Raw genomic sequence first — 18,018 nt, forward strand, 5'->3', positions numbered from 1 at the left:
ATGTTGAACTCTGCTCTTCCTGTGGGAAAATGTTGCAAAGCAGCATGTCTTTTCCTTCTGTGCTGGAGTAAAATTGATCTCAGGCCCTCCTCGCCATCTGCTCCCAGACACCAAGAGATGGTAGCTTACATAAAGAGGTAGGAGAAGGGCTTGTAACTGGCCCATCTCCTTACTTGAATATTCTTCAGCCACATGCAAGGGTGAGGTCCTCATACTGATTAAAAGCCTGACTGGCTGATGGCAGAGAGGCATGAGGCTTGAGGGGTAGGAGGGGATGCTGGCAGAGATACATGAGTGAAGATGAGGGGAAGGAGAAAACAGGTGCCTTTTGGGAACTCACACTGACAACTTCTGGAATACTTTGAGTTTTGCCTTTCTGGGGAGCTATTTGCTACAAGAGTTATACTAGAGCTGATCCTCTCCTTCATAAGTTTCTATTTCATGGCATATTTTTAACAACTAGAATGTTCAAAATAAGGGAGACGGATAACACGGTCTCAAAGATCTCTTCCAGCTCTCCATTTAATGGTTCTGTATTAGACTGCACAGTTATTAGCTAGTTTGATGGTGGAGAAGAGAAGAAGAAATGCATGTAGTAAGTTTGCTTCCTCTTTACGACTCAAGAAGAAATTCTATTATCCCCACTTTAGATATTAGGTAACTGAAGCTTGCCCGAGATCTCAAGGCCAATGAATGGCAGAATCATATTCTAAATATAGGTTTTCAAACTCCTGTACCATTTCCTCTATAAGAACATTCTTTGAAACTTTATATTCAATAATTAATTACTTAATATGTAAATATATGATAAACATAATATAATGATCCTTTTACTACTTGTTATAAACTGGATAACTAGAGTTTAGCACAGAAATGGGTTTTATTATTGGTTTTTCCCTTTTAGGGGTACCCATCTCAATTCTCAGAGAAAGTTGGCTAAAGAAGATAATTTCAAAAGAAAAAGGATATATTTGCCTCAAATCGCAGCAATAAGTCAGAGAGTATCAGTCATTTCCTACAAGTGGGGGCTGTATTCCTTCTTGCACTGCACATCTACAGAGAAGAGACCCTAAAGTAACGAAGATGTGTTACTAAGTATAAATGGAGAAAGACTGAGTCAATTCCACATAAAGAAAGCTTCGCCATGCATAAGGAAGATGGGCAGTTTTTGAACTCACGAGTGACTAGAAAAATAAAAGCTCAAGCACTTAGTTCATTTACAATTCAACACTATCAAAGAAATAAATGGTTGATACAAATCCCCAGGGGGAACATCATTTTATTACACACCCCCATAGGTGGCTTTTAAAGGGTACTTGATTAGGTTTCATCACAATTAAACTCTCTACACCTAAAGGACACCAAAACATGGTAGCTTATATAAAGATGTAGGAGATGGGCTTGTAATTGGCCTTCAATTAAGTGGTAAAGAAGGGGATAATGAAGAAAGAAGCTTATAGACATATAACTAGTTGAACGTGGAAACCTGTTGGCTTTCAAAAAAATACATCTCCAAAATGGCAAATATCTTCCATATACCGATTGTATTGTCCTGTTACCAGTCACCTTTTTAATAGCAATGTGCTCTGGTTAAACCAAAGAGTGGTGGAAAAAAGGACTAAACACCCCAACGTTCTGAAAATGGGGTCCTTAGAGCCAATCAATATGAAAGCCACCAAGTGGATCTAACAAGTGACAAGAAGAATTGATTCACAAGAAGGATGACAAACTTAAACCATGTATGGATGGCCCTAAAGCCAACAGTGGATGCCCTCCGAATGGGGACAGCTGAGGGTAGGAGCTTTGGTTTCACGGCAGGGTGTGCTGACTCTGAGGCTCTGAGGATAGGGGCTGCTGTAGAATGCCTTCCTTGCATAGTGACTGTCCGTGATTCCATTATTCTCAAAATCAGCCAAAAATATTATAATTTTGAAAAATAGAGAAATATTCCGGCTTCTCTGCTTACACATATCTAGTATTAATGAGTTCCTTGGAACTAATATCAGGGAAACAAATCATATCCCCTGATTATGAGATTCTTAGAGACTATTTACAGTCAGAGTAGTGGATTAATGGGATATGAGGTTGACTCAACATGGTAATTCTTTGAATTATCAACAGTAAAATCATTAGCACTAATGTTATTCACCCTGATTAACACCCTATCCAACAATAAAGACAATTTCAAGAAATATGAGGATTTTAAAAAATTGATCTCAAAGTAGACCCCTTGGCCACTGACTTGGTAACCCCAAGGAAAACTCATATTGCTAATTTTGGATGGTCTTAGTGTCAGACACTTAATTGAGCAACAATTCAAGTGGAAAATGTGCTGAGAATTCTCAAAAGAGAGCTGTGAGTAAGGATACAAAAGGGAATCCATTATTGTGTGTACCTTTTCTCATTTTTCTTTAATTAAAAAAATAAAATGTACCAGTCAGATGTGCTACATCACACATTACCTCAACTCTCTGAAGTTGGAGCATCCCTACCTCTCACTGAACCTACTGACCCCCTGAAGGATGAGGGAACTTTAGCCTGGATTTCAAACAACCACCGTTAACTCAAGTTTGACACTGTACAGTAGTTTCACGGTATCCCAGAAACAATGTAAGCCGCTATGGGTGGCTGGTGGTGGGAGACAGGTAAAATTGGATTTTTTTCCCTTTGCTCATATAATCTGAAGACTATAGAATGTAGTTTTTAAAGGTCAGAACGAATTGCTAATTAAGTGGAGGCATTTGAAATTAGCAAATAAAATTGCTACTCAGAATAGTGACTAAGGAGTAATTAATCATAAGGGGAAAATGGAAGCGCAGTTCAGCCAGCAGTAAAATCATCTTTTAACTAGTTACCATAGAGCCTTCAGATGGTGTTACTAAGAAACTGTTAGATATTAATTTCATTCTTTTCTCTTTAGGCTATATCATTTAAAAAAATAGTACTCAACATTTTTCTATGAAGACACAAATCAAGTTGGTCTGCACAGTCTCTCTTGCAGGTATTTAGAAATATGTGGACTAGCTATGATTTCCCTTTACCTTTCACTCAACATTGGAATGAAGTAAGGATTACATTATCATAGTCTTCACTTTAAATCCAGTCTACTTTTTATATAACTCATTGATGAATCTTGGCATTTTAATTATTAGAACACAGAATTACTTAATATACTCCTCAAACCAATGCTGAGACTCCCTCCTTTCCTTCTTTTAAAATACTTTTTTAGTTTGTTTGTTTGTTTGTTTGTTTTGAGACAGAGTCTTGCTCTGTCACACAGGCTGAAGTACAATGGCGCAACCTCGGTTCACTGCAACCTCGGTTCACTGCAACCTCCGCATCCTGGATTCAAGCGATTCTCCTGCCTCTGCCTCTGGAGCAGCTGGGATTAAAGGCATGCACCACTACAGCCAGTTAGTTTTTGTATTTTTAGTGGAGATGGGGTTTCACCATGTTGATCATGCTAGTCTTGAACTCCTGACCTAAAGAGATCTGCCAGCCTCAGCCTCCCAAAGTACGGGGATTACAGGCGTGAGCCACTGCGCCCAGTCAAAAATGCCTTCTAAAAACATTTTGGTTTGGTTTCCAGGTGCTTTTTGTTTCCCTAGGTGCTATATCTGCCAGTCTTGGGTTAGATGCTCTCAACCCATGCTAGGATTCCATTTCACATCAAAATTTTTATATCTTAAATTTAAAGCCAAATTTACAAACATGAATATTACAATCAAATATTCAGACAGTTGATTTGACATGCACATCTTAAACTAGAAAACAAATTAAGGCAGGATTTATACAGAGATCCATATTTTTAAGCACTTGATATTTATTAATTAGCGAATCCACACCAGAATCCTATGAGGTAGCCTAGCTTGTCTTTATTATAAATAAATTAGGTAGAAGCCAGAAAAAAAAAAAAAAGGCTATCTCCACAATAATATGTTGATTGGACCCTCCTTATTCTGGTCACAAAAGAAAAACAGTTCCTCATATAAGTGGGTCAAGTGAACAATGAATATTTTGTTTGGATGGAATATAGAGAGAGTATAGTTATTTTATTACCTGGCAGTTTAAAAAGGTAATTTTCTTAGTGGGGCTTTAATATTCTGTGTTCACACTGACTTGTCAGAAATTTCCGACTCAAAATATCAGCTTTGGAAGAGTTAGAATGCCCCCACACTCCACCCCCAGCCCCAACCAGAAGGCTCAAATTTTCCTATGGGAGTTTTAGTATTTTTCATGTATCTTAAATTTTTCATCCTTTGGTCTGGTTGACCTAATAAACTCATGTCAATAAAAAAGTGTAAAGACTCTTTCAGTTCCAATTTATGCTTATATATGTCGTCTAACAGGCAAGTGAAACACAAATCCTATTTGTCTTTGTAGTCAAGCAATTGCGGATGAGAGTTTTATTACTACCTTTATCAGCCAAAGGAATCACTGTAGTCCCCTTTACTTAGCAGATTACTTTATGACTATATTTATTAGTTCACTGGGCTTGGAGACTAAATTTAATGAAGACTCATTAATTTGGGTTTCACTACCGTGGCGTTTGTGGCCTCTGGCACAGGTGCTAGCCTGAAGCTTACCTCTGTACTGACGGAGAAAAACTTTTTGCAAAGTAAATTAACTGCATGACCAAGACTATAGGAGTGTTTTATCTTCTTAAGAAGACAATTTCAACCACGTAACCACTAACCTTTTAAATACAAATAATTTTACTCTGATATAGTATAAGGAGTCCATTAAGCTTGTGTGTTATGTTAATTTTGAATAATTTTTCCCTCACTGCAGCAAAACTTTAAATGGGCAGTATTTGGTTAGTTTAGTTAACATTATTATAAAAACTCTGGAACAGTAAAAATACTTTAAATATTGATAATTTGAATAGCTTCACTCTTTCAAATATATGGGTTCTTTCCTAGGTCCTTTTAATTAACATTTTACAGAAAATCACTTGACTCATGTTCTCAGCTGGCCCGGAGTCTCTGCTGGGACCACGTGTCAGCAGCTCCGGGTGGACTGGACGTAAGACAGGGACACACCTGGGTCTGTGTGGGTCTCTTTCCTCTCCTTCAGAATTGATTTGGTTATTTGAAAACATTTACCTTCCATCCCACTCCCATCCACTCATAAAAAAATGGGAAGGTAAGATATGACTTAGCTGAACAAACACAACCACAGCAAACCAAACAGAAAAGACAACCACAAACAGCTAGCTTCCCAAGTAGGAATCTTTCCATTCCAGAATTCCCAAAATATAAACAACATTAGCAGCCCCTTCCTGCCTAAAACTAAATATGTCATCTCCAGGGTACACTAGAATGATAATTTCCACTATCTGCATGGGCAAAAATAAAGAAATTTGAAAACAAACAAACACACAAAACCTCTGGCAGGGTATTCACTTGCATTTGACAGGTTGCCAAGGAGCAATGGTATTTAGATGAGGAATTCTGAAATAATCTGATTATTATGGCCGGAAGATTATCTATAAAGGGTTTGGCATAGCCTCTCTGTAAAGTAAAAGAAATCTATGTTCATAGACTTTTCTATATTAGGTTATTTTAAATACACACACACACACACACACACACACACACACAGCACTTTAGGGCATAAGCTCACTCACTAAACCCAAACTGAAACAGTGTTTTGTTGTTGCTGCTGTTTTTACTCGGACAATGCTTATTTTACAGCGGAATTGACAAATAAAGCCTTATTTTACACATCCGAAGAAACACCATCACAGGAGGTTTGTAGGTCGGCTGTGTGCTTTCCAAAACAGCAAAATAGATTCTTCCCATCCAACCCCCTTTCCTCTTGTAGAGTAGGGTGTGGCTCGTGGGGCTTCGTCTCTCTGCAGGCACAGAAACTGGCAGACCTGGTCCCTCCTGAGCGGGCCCTGCTCAAGGGAATGGTGCCAGATTTTGAACACAGGTAAACAGGCTCCTTCATAACAACACTGTGCATTTCTGTGTCATTTTGTTTATTGCTCACTGAGTTGTTGCCACCTCAGCTCTTGGTGGAAAACAGTGGGTGTCCAGAAATTGCTGACACAAGAAGATGGATTGCCTATGGTCGTTAGGGACACAGGGCAGCCCCAGCCAGATCCCAGCTGGTCCATGCAGGGCATCGTCAGTAGAAGCTCAACGTCCCACTTCGTAACCAGGCTACAAGACACCAAGTCCGGTCACCATGGAAAAGAATTAAACCTAGAGAAAGAGCCTCATGATCTGCACTCAGACGCTCCCCATCAGAAAGGAACTGTTTTCTTTATCGGTCATGCTCTTTCCAGAGTGACTGAGTCTTGGCTCAGCAGTAGGACTTCAGTGAGAAACAGAAGAAATAGGGGACCCCGCCTAGCCCAAGGCCGCCATTTCTTCAGAATTTTCTCACTTCTTTCCAAACGATCAGTATCCCCCAATTAAAGCCCACAGTTCAGGCCAAACATCATAAAAAAAAATACTTGTTTATTTCCATCTCATTCTGGGGTTTATAATTCTTCTTTTGGATGCTTTTGGGGAAAAAAATTCACCAAGGTCAAGGGCTGTGAAGACGTTTTTGCCTAAGAAGATCATCATGCAGGCAGACTAATTCTTTTCCTAAGCTATTATTTGGCAACTTGCAAGGAGGACTTGGCTTAACCTTGAGAAACTGTTCTTTGAATGATCAGGAAAAAAGATGAGAATTCTTCCTTTATTTACTCCCTTCGTCTTCATTGTTCAGATGGTAAACCTGGCTCCTGTGCTTGGAGAACGGAGAAAACGACTGGTATTTATTTGTCCATTTGGTATTTTCCACTAATAGTGATCTGTTCCAGTTCTGTGCATGTCACCCTCAACTGTGTCCAACATGATGAGAAAAGAATGTATATTTCTGGATAGAGGTGGTTTACATCACACTCATTGAGGATTTAACAGAATAATTATGCTCTGAGGAAATCTAGAATAAATTGGAAATTTAAATTTTTCCACTTTCAGTTTGAATAATGCTCCAACTGTTTGCTATAGGATTATAATTTAGAACATGTGCTAAATATGTTATCAGGAAAGAATTTAAAAATCCATCCAAATATCATAACTTACCCCAAAATTAAAAAAAGGAAAAAGAAAAAAGAAACCTCATTCATTTCCAAAAATCAAGATCAGTCGTATGTGAATCTGTGAATCCTTATAAGAAATGTTTATTGTTCAAGAAAGAAGCCTCCTCTGGTGGTTGATAAGCAATTCTCCACGGCAGAGAAATGCTAATGTTTTGTTCTTATGTCTTGATTGATGCTTTCACTACTTATTCTTCAGGCTATAAGACAGAAGGAAACACAGTGTTACCTTCTTTCATAATTACAAATTCCAACACCTCTTTCTCCCCCCCACCCCCTGTCTCTCTTCTACTTCTCATATTACCTTAACCATCAAATTCAAATGCATCTGAATTTGTAAAGTTAATCTTTCAGGTTCTAAATAACCTGTATATATAAAATATCTCCATTACTAATGCCATCTCCACATACGTACAAGAAAATGTATAGCTCTACATTGTCAATCCAGACACTAAATTCATTCCAAATGTTTTTAAATAAAAATAATGAATTGATTTTTATTTATGGCATGCTGCATACACCCATCTTTAAGTTTCAGGTATAACTACATGCAGAACCCTCTTGTTGAAAGTGGAGAGCAACATTACAGTGGCTAAATTTCAAATTAATATAAGCCTCGTTGTCCACTCATTCAGAATTTTCTCTGTTAGAAGAATAGAAAAAAAAAATTGTTTCTGGGCCAGGTGCAGTGGCTCATGCCTGTAATCCCAACACTTTGGGAGGTAGAGGTGGGCAGATCACGAGGTCAGGATATCAAGACTATCCTGGCCAACATGGTGAAACCCCGTCTCTACTAAAAATACAAAAATTAGCTGGGCATGGTAGCATGCCTGTAGTCCCAGCTACTCAGGAGGCTGAAGCAGGAGAATCGCTTGAACCTGATGCAGTGAGCCGAGATCGTGCCACTGCACTCCAGCCTGGCAACAGAGGGAGACTCCATGTCAAAAAAAAAAAAAAAATTCTTTCTGGCCTTACTTGCAAAAAGTATTGATTTAATCAAATTGAGAGCCAATTTTTGAAGGATTTTTAGTTTTGTTTTTTTCTTTATGACAACAAGATACTACCTCTTACAACATGCCTACTACGAGTCATGAATTTTACATTTACTTTACATTTTAATTTAATCCACAGACCACTTTTACTATGTGTGCCATTTCCACCCCTTTTAAAGGTGAGAACACTGAGGTTTCACTTGGCTAAATTAATGGCACAAGATCAAACAGCTGTTAAGCAGTGGAACTTGAACCCTGGAAAAACTCATAAGCAGGAGGTGAGAGAGCTTGTTGACATCTTCTGCCGGGGATTTCTCGCATGCTGCTGAAGAAGTGCTCCAGCTGAAAGGAAGCTGCTGGAAAAGCATCTTCTAGTGGTGGCTGTTTCCCTTAAAGAATATTTTAGAGGGAAGGGTGGCAAAAGTGTTAGAGCAGGTTAGACTCTTTTCACAGGTTTTCCCATCTTCCTTCGCTAAGGTCCAAATGTCTCACTGGCAGTCTGGTAAATGAAAATTCAAAAGCTACAAAAGAAAATTCTATCACTCACCTAGAAACACAGAGCATATGTTGAAATTTCATTTTCCAAAAACAGTGCTGTCATAGAATATTCTTAGGATCTGAATAAGAATTTGAACATTGTTGGTATAATGTAGACTAAAAAAATTGAGACTATATGCATATTTTTAAAAATAGCTTTGAAATGTTTGAAATTTTGCCTTAGCATGACCCTGGTAGCTATAGCCACTTTTTAGTAGTTGTTATAAAAATTAAAATCCTGTTTTAGAATCTCATACTCTGCTACCATCCGGTCATGACCTAAAGAAATTCAACAGTCCTTGTCATCTTCAAAAATTAATGTGACATAAGGGTTGAAAGTTCTCACTGAGCAAATAAGTATAATTTCATTTTTATAAACTGCAAAGATGAACACTTTTGAGATTAAAAAGAGTTTGAAGGACAGCATCTTCACGTAACAGTAAGAAGACCAAATATTCACAGCTAAACAGTCTTTAGTCATGATTACATAGTTAGAGAAAATCAGATGAAAGGGTTTTTTTTTTAAACTTATAGTAAAAGTGGTATATTAAGAACTTAATCCCATAATGAGGAAAAATATCACATTCTTCCTTTTTATAGTCATTGTAATTATTCAGATCCTTTCTGAATACATAGAAATAATGACAAATTAAAATGTCTTTCAGTTCCCTATAGCTTTTGTAATTATTCATCCATTACTGTTATTTTTGCTGGAAAGGCTACTTCATATTTTAGTCAGCATCCCATTTGATACAAAAGAACACGGAAAATTTCACTGCTATTAATAAACACGCAGCCATCCAATCCAAGAAGAAAATTCTTTTTCATCTGAGAGATAAGCTGCATAATTCATGTATTTTCAGAAATTTCTTTAAATAGAAAATTGAAGAAAGGCATAGGGAAAAAAATTCATCACATAGCTTCCATTTGTGGCGAAGGGCAGTCTTTGTTCTCTGACAGCCTTAAATATGATTCCATCTGAAGAGAGAATTTCAATTGCGCCATATACATACCAGTCATAGTCAGATAGCTCATCTTCTTTTTGACATATATGAAACCACAAACATGATGAAAACATGGCCTCAGTTTCACATTTGCACATTTGCTACCTTTTTTTTTTTTTTTTTTTTTTTGAGACTGAGTCACGCTTTGTCGCCCAGGCTGGAGTGCAGTGGCACAATCTCAGCTCACTGCAACCTCTGCCTCCCAGGTTCAAGCAATTCTCCTGCTTCAGCCTCCCAAGTAGCTGGGATTACAGCCACGTGCTACCACACCTGGCTAATTTTTGTATTTTTAGTAGATACAGGGTTTTGCCATGTTGGCCATGCTGGTCTCAAACTCCTGACCTCAGGTGATCCACCCAACTCAGCCTCCCAAAGCGCTGGGATTACAGGTGTGAGCCACTGCGTCCGGCCCACATTTGCTACCTTTCTAAAACTAATGTAACTGAGTGTTAATAGGGACTTTTCATGGGGTCTCAGGAAGCAGTTAGAAAAATGTTGGGCAATTTGGAATGGGTACCTCTGCCTTCCCAAAAGAGAAGTGTCCCTGTCAGGGAATGTGGCGCGACATAGAACTTCTGTGATGTTCAGCCCCTATTGAAGTCTGGGCCACACGGGGCATGTGGCAGCCTTCTAGCACAAGCCAGATGAGAATCACATCTGTAGGAACAGCCATGTCCAAAAGCTTCCGCTTCTTCCACCACTAGTCTTTCCCCTTATTCTCATCCTGAAGGTCCAGGATAGGGGGATTCTCTGACCTGGTTTTGAGACAGAAATCTTAAGATAGACTAGTAACAACCATTGAAAATGGTCTCACCTTGGCCAGGTGTGGTGGCTCACGCCTGTAATCCCAGCACTTTGGGAGGCTGAGGCAGGCGGATCATGAGGTCAAGAGATCGAGACCATCCTGGCCAACATGGTGAAACCCTGTCTCTACTAAAAATACAAAAATTAGCTGGGCATGGTGGCATGCTCCTGTAGTCCTAGCTATTTGGGAGGCTGAGGCAGGAGAATTGCTTGAACCCAGGAGGCAGAAGTTGCAGTGAGCTGAGATTTTGCCACTGCACTCCAGCCTGGCGACTGAGCAAGACTCTGTCTCAAAAAAAAAAAAAAATGACCAGATATGTACACAATCTTCCTGAGATATTAACAATATGGAGGAAGAAAGAAGAAAGCACTTTGACCATGTGAGTTTGAAGGTGGTAGCTAGAGAAATATATAATGATTAATTGGTCCCACACTGAATGTAAACTGTTCAATAAGCCAGTGAAAAAACAGAGCAGAACATCCTTAGCCATGATGAAGCCTAATTTCTGATAGCCAGGTAGCAAGCTTATAGTGACAAGGAAAAGGCAGTCATGGGCCATGGTTTACATGAAATGATACGGCCAGAGTTTGTTAGGAGAGGAGGAGTCATGTCTAAGGCATTTTTCACAAAAATGTTGCTGAACAGTCATGACTTGGAACTTGTTCAGCCTATTGCCTGAGAACTGAATGACATCCAAGGACATAACACTTTGGGCCCATAAATTAAAATAGTGCATTGATAAACCAAATGAAGTTATATTTCCAAAATTGAACATTTCCTAATTTCTATTCTTGTATTTCCTAACTTGGCCAATAAATATTCAAGACAAAAGTGCAGCGTTTTCCCTGGCCAGTTCCTTTTTCTCCATCAGCCCATAATCAATCAATCCCAAATCTTATTGGTCTCCTACTTCTCTCTTAAATGTCCCATTTCCTCTGCATCCCCTGCCCCATGTCCTACTCCTGGTCTGTGGCATTGCACTAGTTTTCTATCTGGGATGTTTGCAGTCAGCTCTGCAGCCTCATCACACTGGTGTTGCAATGCCTCACTGGGTTCCCAGCACCTTCTGAGAAAATAAAAATGTCTTAATATGACACATAAAGGTCACTGTAATGTCACTGGCATCTTCTTCTCCATTCCTGTCTTTTACTCATTATTCCTTGCGATTACTCCACCTATCTGGATCACAGAAAATCAGGTGAGGCTCCTCTACGTGCTGGCTCTCACATGTTGCCATGGTTGGTGCAGGCAGTTCCTTCTGCTTGGAAACTCATCCCCCACCTCTCTGCTTGCCCAGCCTCTCCTATCCCCCTTGGTGGAAACCTGCTTCTTCCAGATCGTGTTTCCTGAATTTACCCTGACACAACAAAATGTATTTGGAATATTTTGAGCAACCACCTGGGAGTGGAGAACAAAACTTTAAGAAAATGCCCAAGCTACAGAAGGAAACTGCTGTGCTTAAGACAAGGGGCACAAGGTGTCTTGCTTCTGAAAAGGGTGAATGTCAGCGGGATGAGGGGGTTTGGAGAAAAAAAAAAAGAGAAGAGAAAGAGAATATGAGAGAAGGGGAAGAGGCCTAGAGAGAATAGAATCAGGAAGATGGCTTTGTTCTCTGCATGTTGATAGCTCTGTATGACAACCAAATCTTCAATACAGTCATCTAGACAAATAAAATACTTCCAAAGTGGTAATTTGTATTGGAAGCCTATGTAGTCTGATTGATATGGGGAGTGGGAAAAAGAAGCACTCAAATGTACAGGGGAGAAAGATGAAGAGAGATCATTAAGATGTTGGGAATCAAAAGTGGAGGCAGGACTTTGGACCCTAACAGGTTATAGACTTTTTTGGGTAGTCCTAAGCCCATTCAGGACGACTGAAAGTAGAATGGGGTTCAGTTGACACCTCTGAGATCTGATGAACATAACAATTTATCCAAAACCTTCTTGAAAAAAACAAATCACAAATGTTTTAACCCATGGAATAAAGAAATAATTTAAGAAAACTCAGGCTAATTCAGAGAAAAGTCAGGTATTGGGAACATTCAAGAAATTGGGAACATTCGAAAGTATAGCACTTTTAAAATGAATTCAACTCTTCTGCTTCCTAATACATATACACTAGCAAAATTGATAAGAACGATTTGTAATTGACTTACCAAAACACCTAAGAAAACAAGCCTCCTCTGCTTATATAGAATTTGCATTGTTTATATGCAAATGACCACTCCTGATGTGCTTCAGAACAGTTTATTCCCTTAAGAAGGCAAATATTCTCTTTATAATCTTGTTTACACTATTCATTTGCTTTGCAAAACGTTTTTCATAAAATCACAAATTAATGAAATGTTAGAGCCAGAAGGGATCCCAGAGATTATCTAGGGAGGTCGAACATCATCATTTTACAGATGAGGAAACTTGCTAGAACTCCTAATACACACACATCCTCCTCATTCCTGAGATCCACAACATCACAACCTGACCTCCATTATTTGGGTGACTCCATTCCCTTCTACTTTGGGGGTTCTGGCTACAGCTGAGGCAGAGCAAGGGGTCTGCAAAGTGCTAGGCTTTGGGCATCATCAGGACCCTGTAACCAAAAAATAAAATTCTAAGAAACCCTCCCCATAACCATTAGAATGGACTTCCTGCTCAGCCAGGGCTCTTTTAAAATTTAACCTAAGAAACTGTTTCAGGCCATGATGGGAAATAGGAGTCGGACTTGCCTCATTATACCTCTCCAGCATGAACATCAATACAGACTTTAAGTCTGATAAGAAACACTTTGCAACCTATTTTCTCGGGAGCCTACTATCTGAAGGCTTCCTCTGCAAATAAAAACTTGTGCCTCTGCAACCCTTTGTTTTAACCCAGACATTCCTTTCTGTTAATCCCAGGTCTTTAGACAAACTCAACCAATTGTCAACCAAAAAATGTTTACATTTACCTATAGCCTGGAAGCCTCCGAACCCCGCTTCTAGTTGTCCCACCTTTCTGGACTAAACCAATGTACTTTTTAAATGTATTTGATTGATGTCTCTTGCCTCCCTAAAATGTGTATAAAACCAAGCTACACCCCGACCACCTTAAGCACATGTTCTCAGGACCTCCTGAAGGCTGCATCGCGGGCCATAGTAACTCATATTTGGCTAAGAATACATCTATTTAAATATTTTACAGAGTTTAACTCTTTTTGTCGACGACAACATATTAGCCTCCTCATCTGAAGTGAGAGAGTTCAGTACCCCTCTTCTATTCACTTACAGAACTCGAAATCTGGTTAATCCTTGTTTGTTTCCAACCCCTAGCTCCTGCATTCTCTCCCCTAATCTTTCCTGACTCCCCTTTTCCTCTCGCCCCTTTCTAATTAGAACTTTCTTTTATTGTTTCCTTTATTGCATTTTTCTTTCTCTTTTTTTTTGTTTTTTGAGACAGAGTCTTCCTTTGTCATCCAGGCTGGAGTGGTGCAGTGGCACCATCTCAGCTCACTGCAACCTCTGCCTCCTGGGTTCGAGCGATTCTCCTGCCTCAGCTTCCCAAGTAGCTGGGATTACAGGCACCCGCCACCACACCTGGCTAATTTTTGTAGTTTTAGTACAGACGGGGGTTCACCATGTTAGCCAGGCTGGTCTTGATCTCCTGACCTCGTGATCCACCCGCCTTGGCCTCCCAAAGTGCTGGGATTACAGGGATGAGCCACCACAACCGGCCTTTTATTGCATTTTTCTAAGTGCTTTTCTTTATTGTTTCAGTAGCCATGTCACATTGCAATATTTTATGTACTGTCTGTGTCCTCTTCAAGGAAGCCTGGGGACTGTGTCTCTCTATTTGTGTATTTTCAATGCTTGCTACACATTAAAGGCCTGACACACATTAAAACATAATCTTTTGTAAATAAACACATGAGGAAAATCAGAAAAGGAATCACTTGGCACATTGGGAAGAAGCCTCACTCCCAGATCCTCACATTTCTCCTTGACTGTCCTATCCTGGGCAAGTCCATTCCCATCCTGCATTTTCAGATAAGAAAAACAATTAGGTGTTGAAAGCATCTATATCTCTATTCTTATCTCCTCCTACTATTCTTGTAATGTATTCAAAGGGCTTGTGATTGAAAGTTAGGTTTTAAGCTTGATTTTAAACTTCCATACCAATTGTTACTAGTTGGATGTTCATGTACATGGTTATTAATTTCATTTAGCCTCAGTTTATTCATCTATAAAACAAAGACATCGATAATATCTTCCTCCTAGGAATGTCATGAAGATTAAATGATATAATGTAGATGAATGTGACCAGTAACCACTAAACATTTAGAAATGCTTGTTTCCTTACTCTTAGTTACTTGAAAGAAAAATTTCTGATGTAGCTCTTGTACAATAGAGTTTGTCAGGTCTTTTTTCCAAGTTCTTGAGGTGGAGGTCTAAGCCCTTGGGATTTCCCAAATGATAGCAGTATCTTTGTAATTCATGGTGGAACTTGACAGCTTATGCTAATGAGGTGACTCATAGTGAGTCCCTAGATAGATTCAGGATGAAGTCTGGCCATGCTGGAAAGATAAACTGTGTGATCAGAGGGTTGAGGCCAAATAATAGTAGCCCAACCTTTAGGGAGGAGAGGCTGGACAATGAGTTCAGTCACATGACCAATACTTCAGTCATACCTAAGTAATGAAAGCATAATAAAACTCTGGACACCAAAGCTCAGTTGAGTGAACACATCAGCGTGATGAGGGAGTATTGTGTCTTGATAAGACAGCTGAGTGCAAAGAGGTTCCCAGGAAAACTCCAACCAGCCTGTGCACTGGGGTGGAGCCTCAGGAAGTTGGCACCCTTTGCAGTGGACAAGGAGCCTGGCCCCTCCTCTTCCTGTGTGGAACCTGGGATTCAAGCTGCGGGCAGGAAGTGCACCAGCAGGGACTCTGGCTTGTGAAGGGTCCCTCCTTCCCTTTTTTCCCTTTTCACCCAATAAAATCCTGTCTTACTCACCTTTTAAATTGTCTGCAAGCCTAAATTTTTGTGGCCATGTGACAAGGACCCCATCTTTAGCTGAACTAAAGAAAAGTCCCACAACCCTGATTTCACAAGAAGAGGACAAACAAGCTCCAAATTTGGGACCCTCCTAGACCTTCTTATATACATCTTGTCATTTGGTTGGTCCTGATTTGTAGCCTTCATAATAAAACTGTAATTGCAAGTCTAGCTCTCTCCCGAGTTCTGACATTCCTTCTAGGTATTAAACCTGAGGGAGTAATGGGAACCCCAAATTTGTAGCCAATTGGTCAGAAGTGCAGGCATCCTGGGACCCTCAGAGCTTGCAGCTGACATCTGAAGTGAGGGCGGTCTTGCTGAAGTCTGTGCCCTTAAGTTGTGAAGTCTGCACTAACTCTAGGTAGTTAGCGTCAGAATTGCATTGCAATATTGCAGTAGCAAACCTCTCTGATTCTGATTCTGTTTCTGTTTTTTAGTATACAGAGCTCAATCCCACTCCACGTTGGCAGGTACAGAGAGCATCCAAGATGCCAGGCCAGGAATTTCTCTGCAGGGGAGCATATGGCAGATGCAGTTCAATATGTGCCCAAGAGTGAGGTTTACTATCAAATGCCCAACTTCAAATTCCAGTTCTGGCACGTAGCAGCTCTGTAGCTCTTGCCTCAGTTTCCTGAACTATAAAATGGGTATAATATAATAACACACAGACCTCACAGGGCTGCTTTGAAGATTAAATGAATTAATATATGGAAGTATTACATACCTGGTACATATGGAGCAACAAATAAATGTGATCTATTATTTATTATTTATTATTATTTATTTGCTACATGAGCCTCGGTTTTAGGCTAAGTCAATTACTAAGTTATATAATTGGCAGAAACAGAGACAGGGGACTGAAGTCAGATATACCTTCTAGAAGCCAAGAGTAGCCCTGGTTTTACCTGTTCAAGGGCAAGCAAAGGATCATGGGACGTGGTGGGATGTGGCAAAAAGATGGTAGAAGTGGGGGAATGTTAATATTTGATTTCACAATTCTCCCCTCAACAAAGGGTATAATGGTCTAGTCTACACTGCCCACTTAGGTACCCAGTAGCCATGTGTGGCTATTTAAATATAAAATAATTAAAATTAAATACAATTTAAAATTCAGTTCCTCAGTCACACTAGCCACTTTCAAGTATTAGCAATCGAGTCTGGCCAGTGGCTACTGTGTTATAAAGTAGATACAAAACATGTCGCTCACCACGGAACATTCCACTGGACAGTTCTGGGCTAGTGTCACTGAAAGTGTCTGAAATCAGATATGTTTTGAAATGCAAATCAATCCACTGATTTTTCCCAAATAGAAAATAAAATGAAAAAAATAACAGGTGAATTTGAGAGAGAAACGAGCCACTGCTATGTTGTAATAATTTGTGTCTCTCTCTCAAACACTGCAGTGCCTCGAAGTGCAGGGAGCAGGGGAAGGGAAAATGTCGGACTCCCCTTTAGCTCATGAGCACGTCTCCTGGGGTACACATTCTGTGAAAATCTAGAGTCCCACAGTGCCAGCAATTACTACTATGTTCAGGTCAGCCACTGGCAGGAGTGGAAAGTTACTCTCCAAAGCTGGCCCTCGGGCAGAGTGGGACTGAAGGATGGAGAGGCAGAGCAGCAGGTGCAAGGGATGAGTTGGCAGAAGTATGTTTTGTTGGGGGGAGGAATGTGTGGTGGAGAGGCCGGAGGGGAGGGAAGGACTGGGAACAGAAGTGGTGAAGTTTGAAAAGAAGCACTGTATGTGGTAGGTTGCTGAGAAGGAGAATGGGAAGTAGTGTGGAATGGGATGCAGCCCTGCTTGCAGAAGGAACATGCCAGGCTGAGATGGAGAAAAAGAAGTTGGGAAGCTGATGGAGAAGACCAGGGAGGCTGTACTCATGTGTGGGCCACCGAGGGGTCAGGGAGGACCCTGGCTGGCCTATGAGCGGTAGAAAAAGCAGTAATATGATCATCCGATTTTTAATTTAATTTTGTTTTATTTATTTATTTATTTATTTATTTTTAGAGACAGGATCTCACTCTGTCACCCAGGCTGGAGTGCAGTGGTGTGATCATAGCTCACTGCAGTCTCAAACTCCTGGGCTCAAGTGATCCTCCCACCTCAGGCTCTGGAGTAGCTGGGACTACACGTACATGCCACCACTCCCAGCTAAGTGTTTTATTTTTTGTAGATACGGTGTGGCACTATGTTGCCCAGGCTGGTCTCCAACTCCTGGCCTCAACTGATCCACCCGCTTCTGCCTCTCAAAGTGCTGGAATTATACGCATGAACCAGTGTGCCTGACCTCATACAATTTTTATAACAAATTATTTGATAATAATTATACTATCGGGACAATGCTGAAACAACATTATGTAACAGAATAAGTGAACTGTGGAAAAGAATGAAATGATGATCAATCAACACAATGGATTTATCACTAAATGGCTGCATTGGAAATGTCACTTCATCTCCACAAGCCTCAATTTCTTCATCTATTCAATGAAGAATTGGACCAGGCCATTCCCTAAGTTCCTTTCACCTCCACCAGGCTGAATGCCTGTGGCCTGGCCAA

General features: G+C 40.1%; 1 protein-coding gene across 2 annotated transcripts in view; it reads right to left on the reverse strand.

The window, feature by feature from the left end:
* Nucleotides 1–5,650: 5,650 nt before the first annotated feature.
* Nucleotides 5,651–18,018, reverse strand: part of ZMAT4 (zinc finger matrin-type 4) — a 367,237-nt gene continuing 354,869 nt past the window's right edge. For both annotated transcript variants that reach the window (NM_001135731.2, NM_024645.3), the window contains one exon: nucleotides 5,651–7,299. In NM_001135731.2, coding sequence (NP_001129203.1) covers nucleotides 7,284–7,299 — 16 coding nt within the window. In that variant the 3' untranslated portion in view covers nucleotides 5,651–7,283. The remainder of the gene's footprint in view (nucleotides 7,300–18,018) is intronic.

Source organism: Homo sapiens, chromosome 8, assembly GCF_000001405.40.
Source record: "Homo sapiens chromosome 8, GRCh38.p14 Primary Assembly".
NCBI lineage: Eukaryota > Metazoa > Chordata > Mammalia > Primates > Hominidae > Homo > Homo sapiens.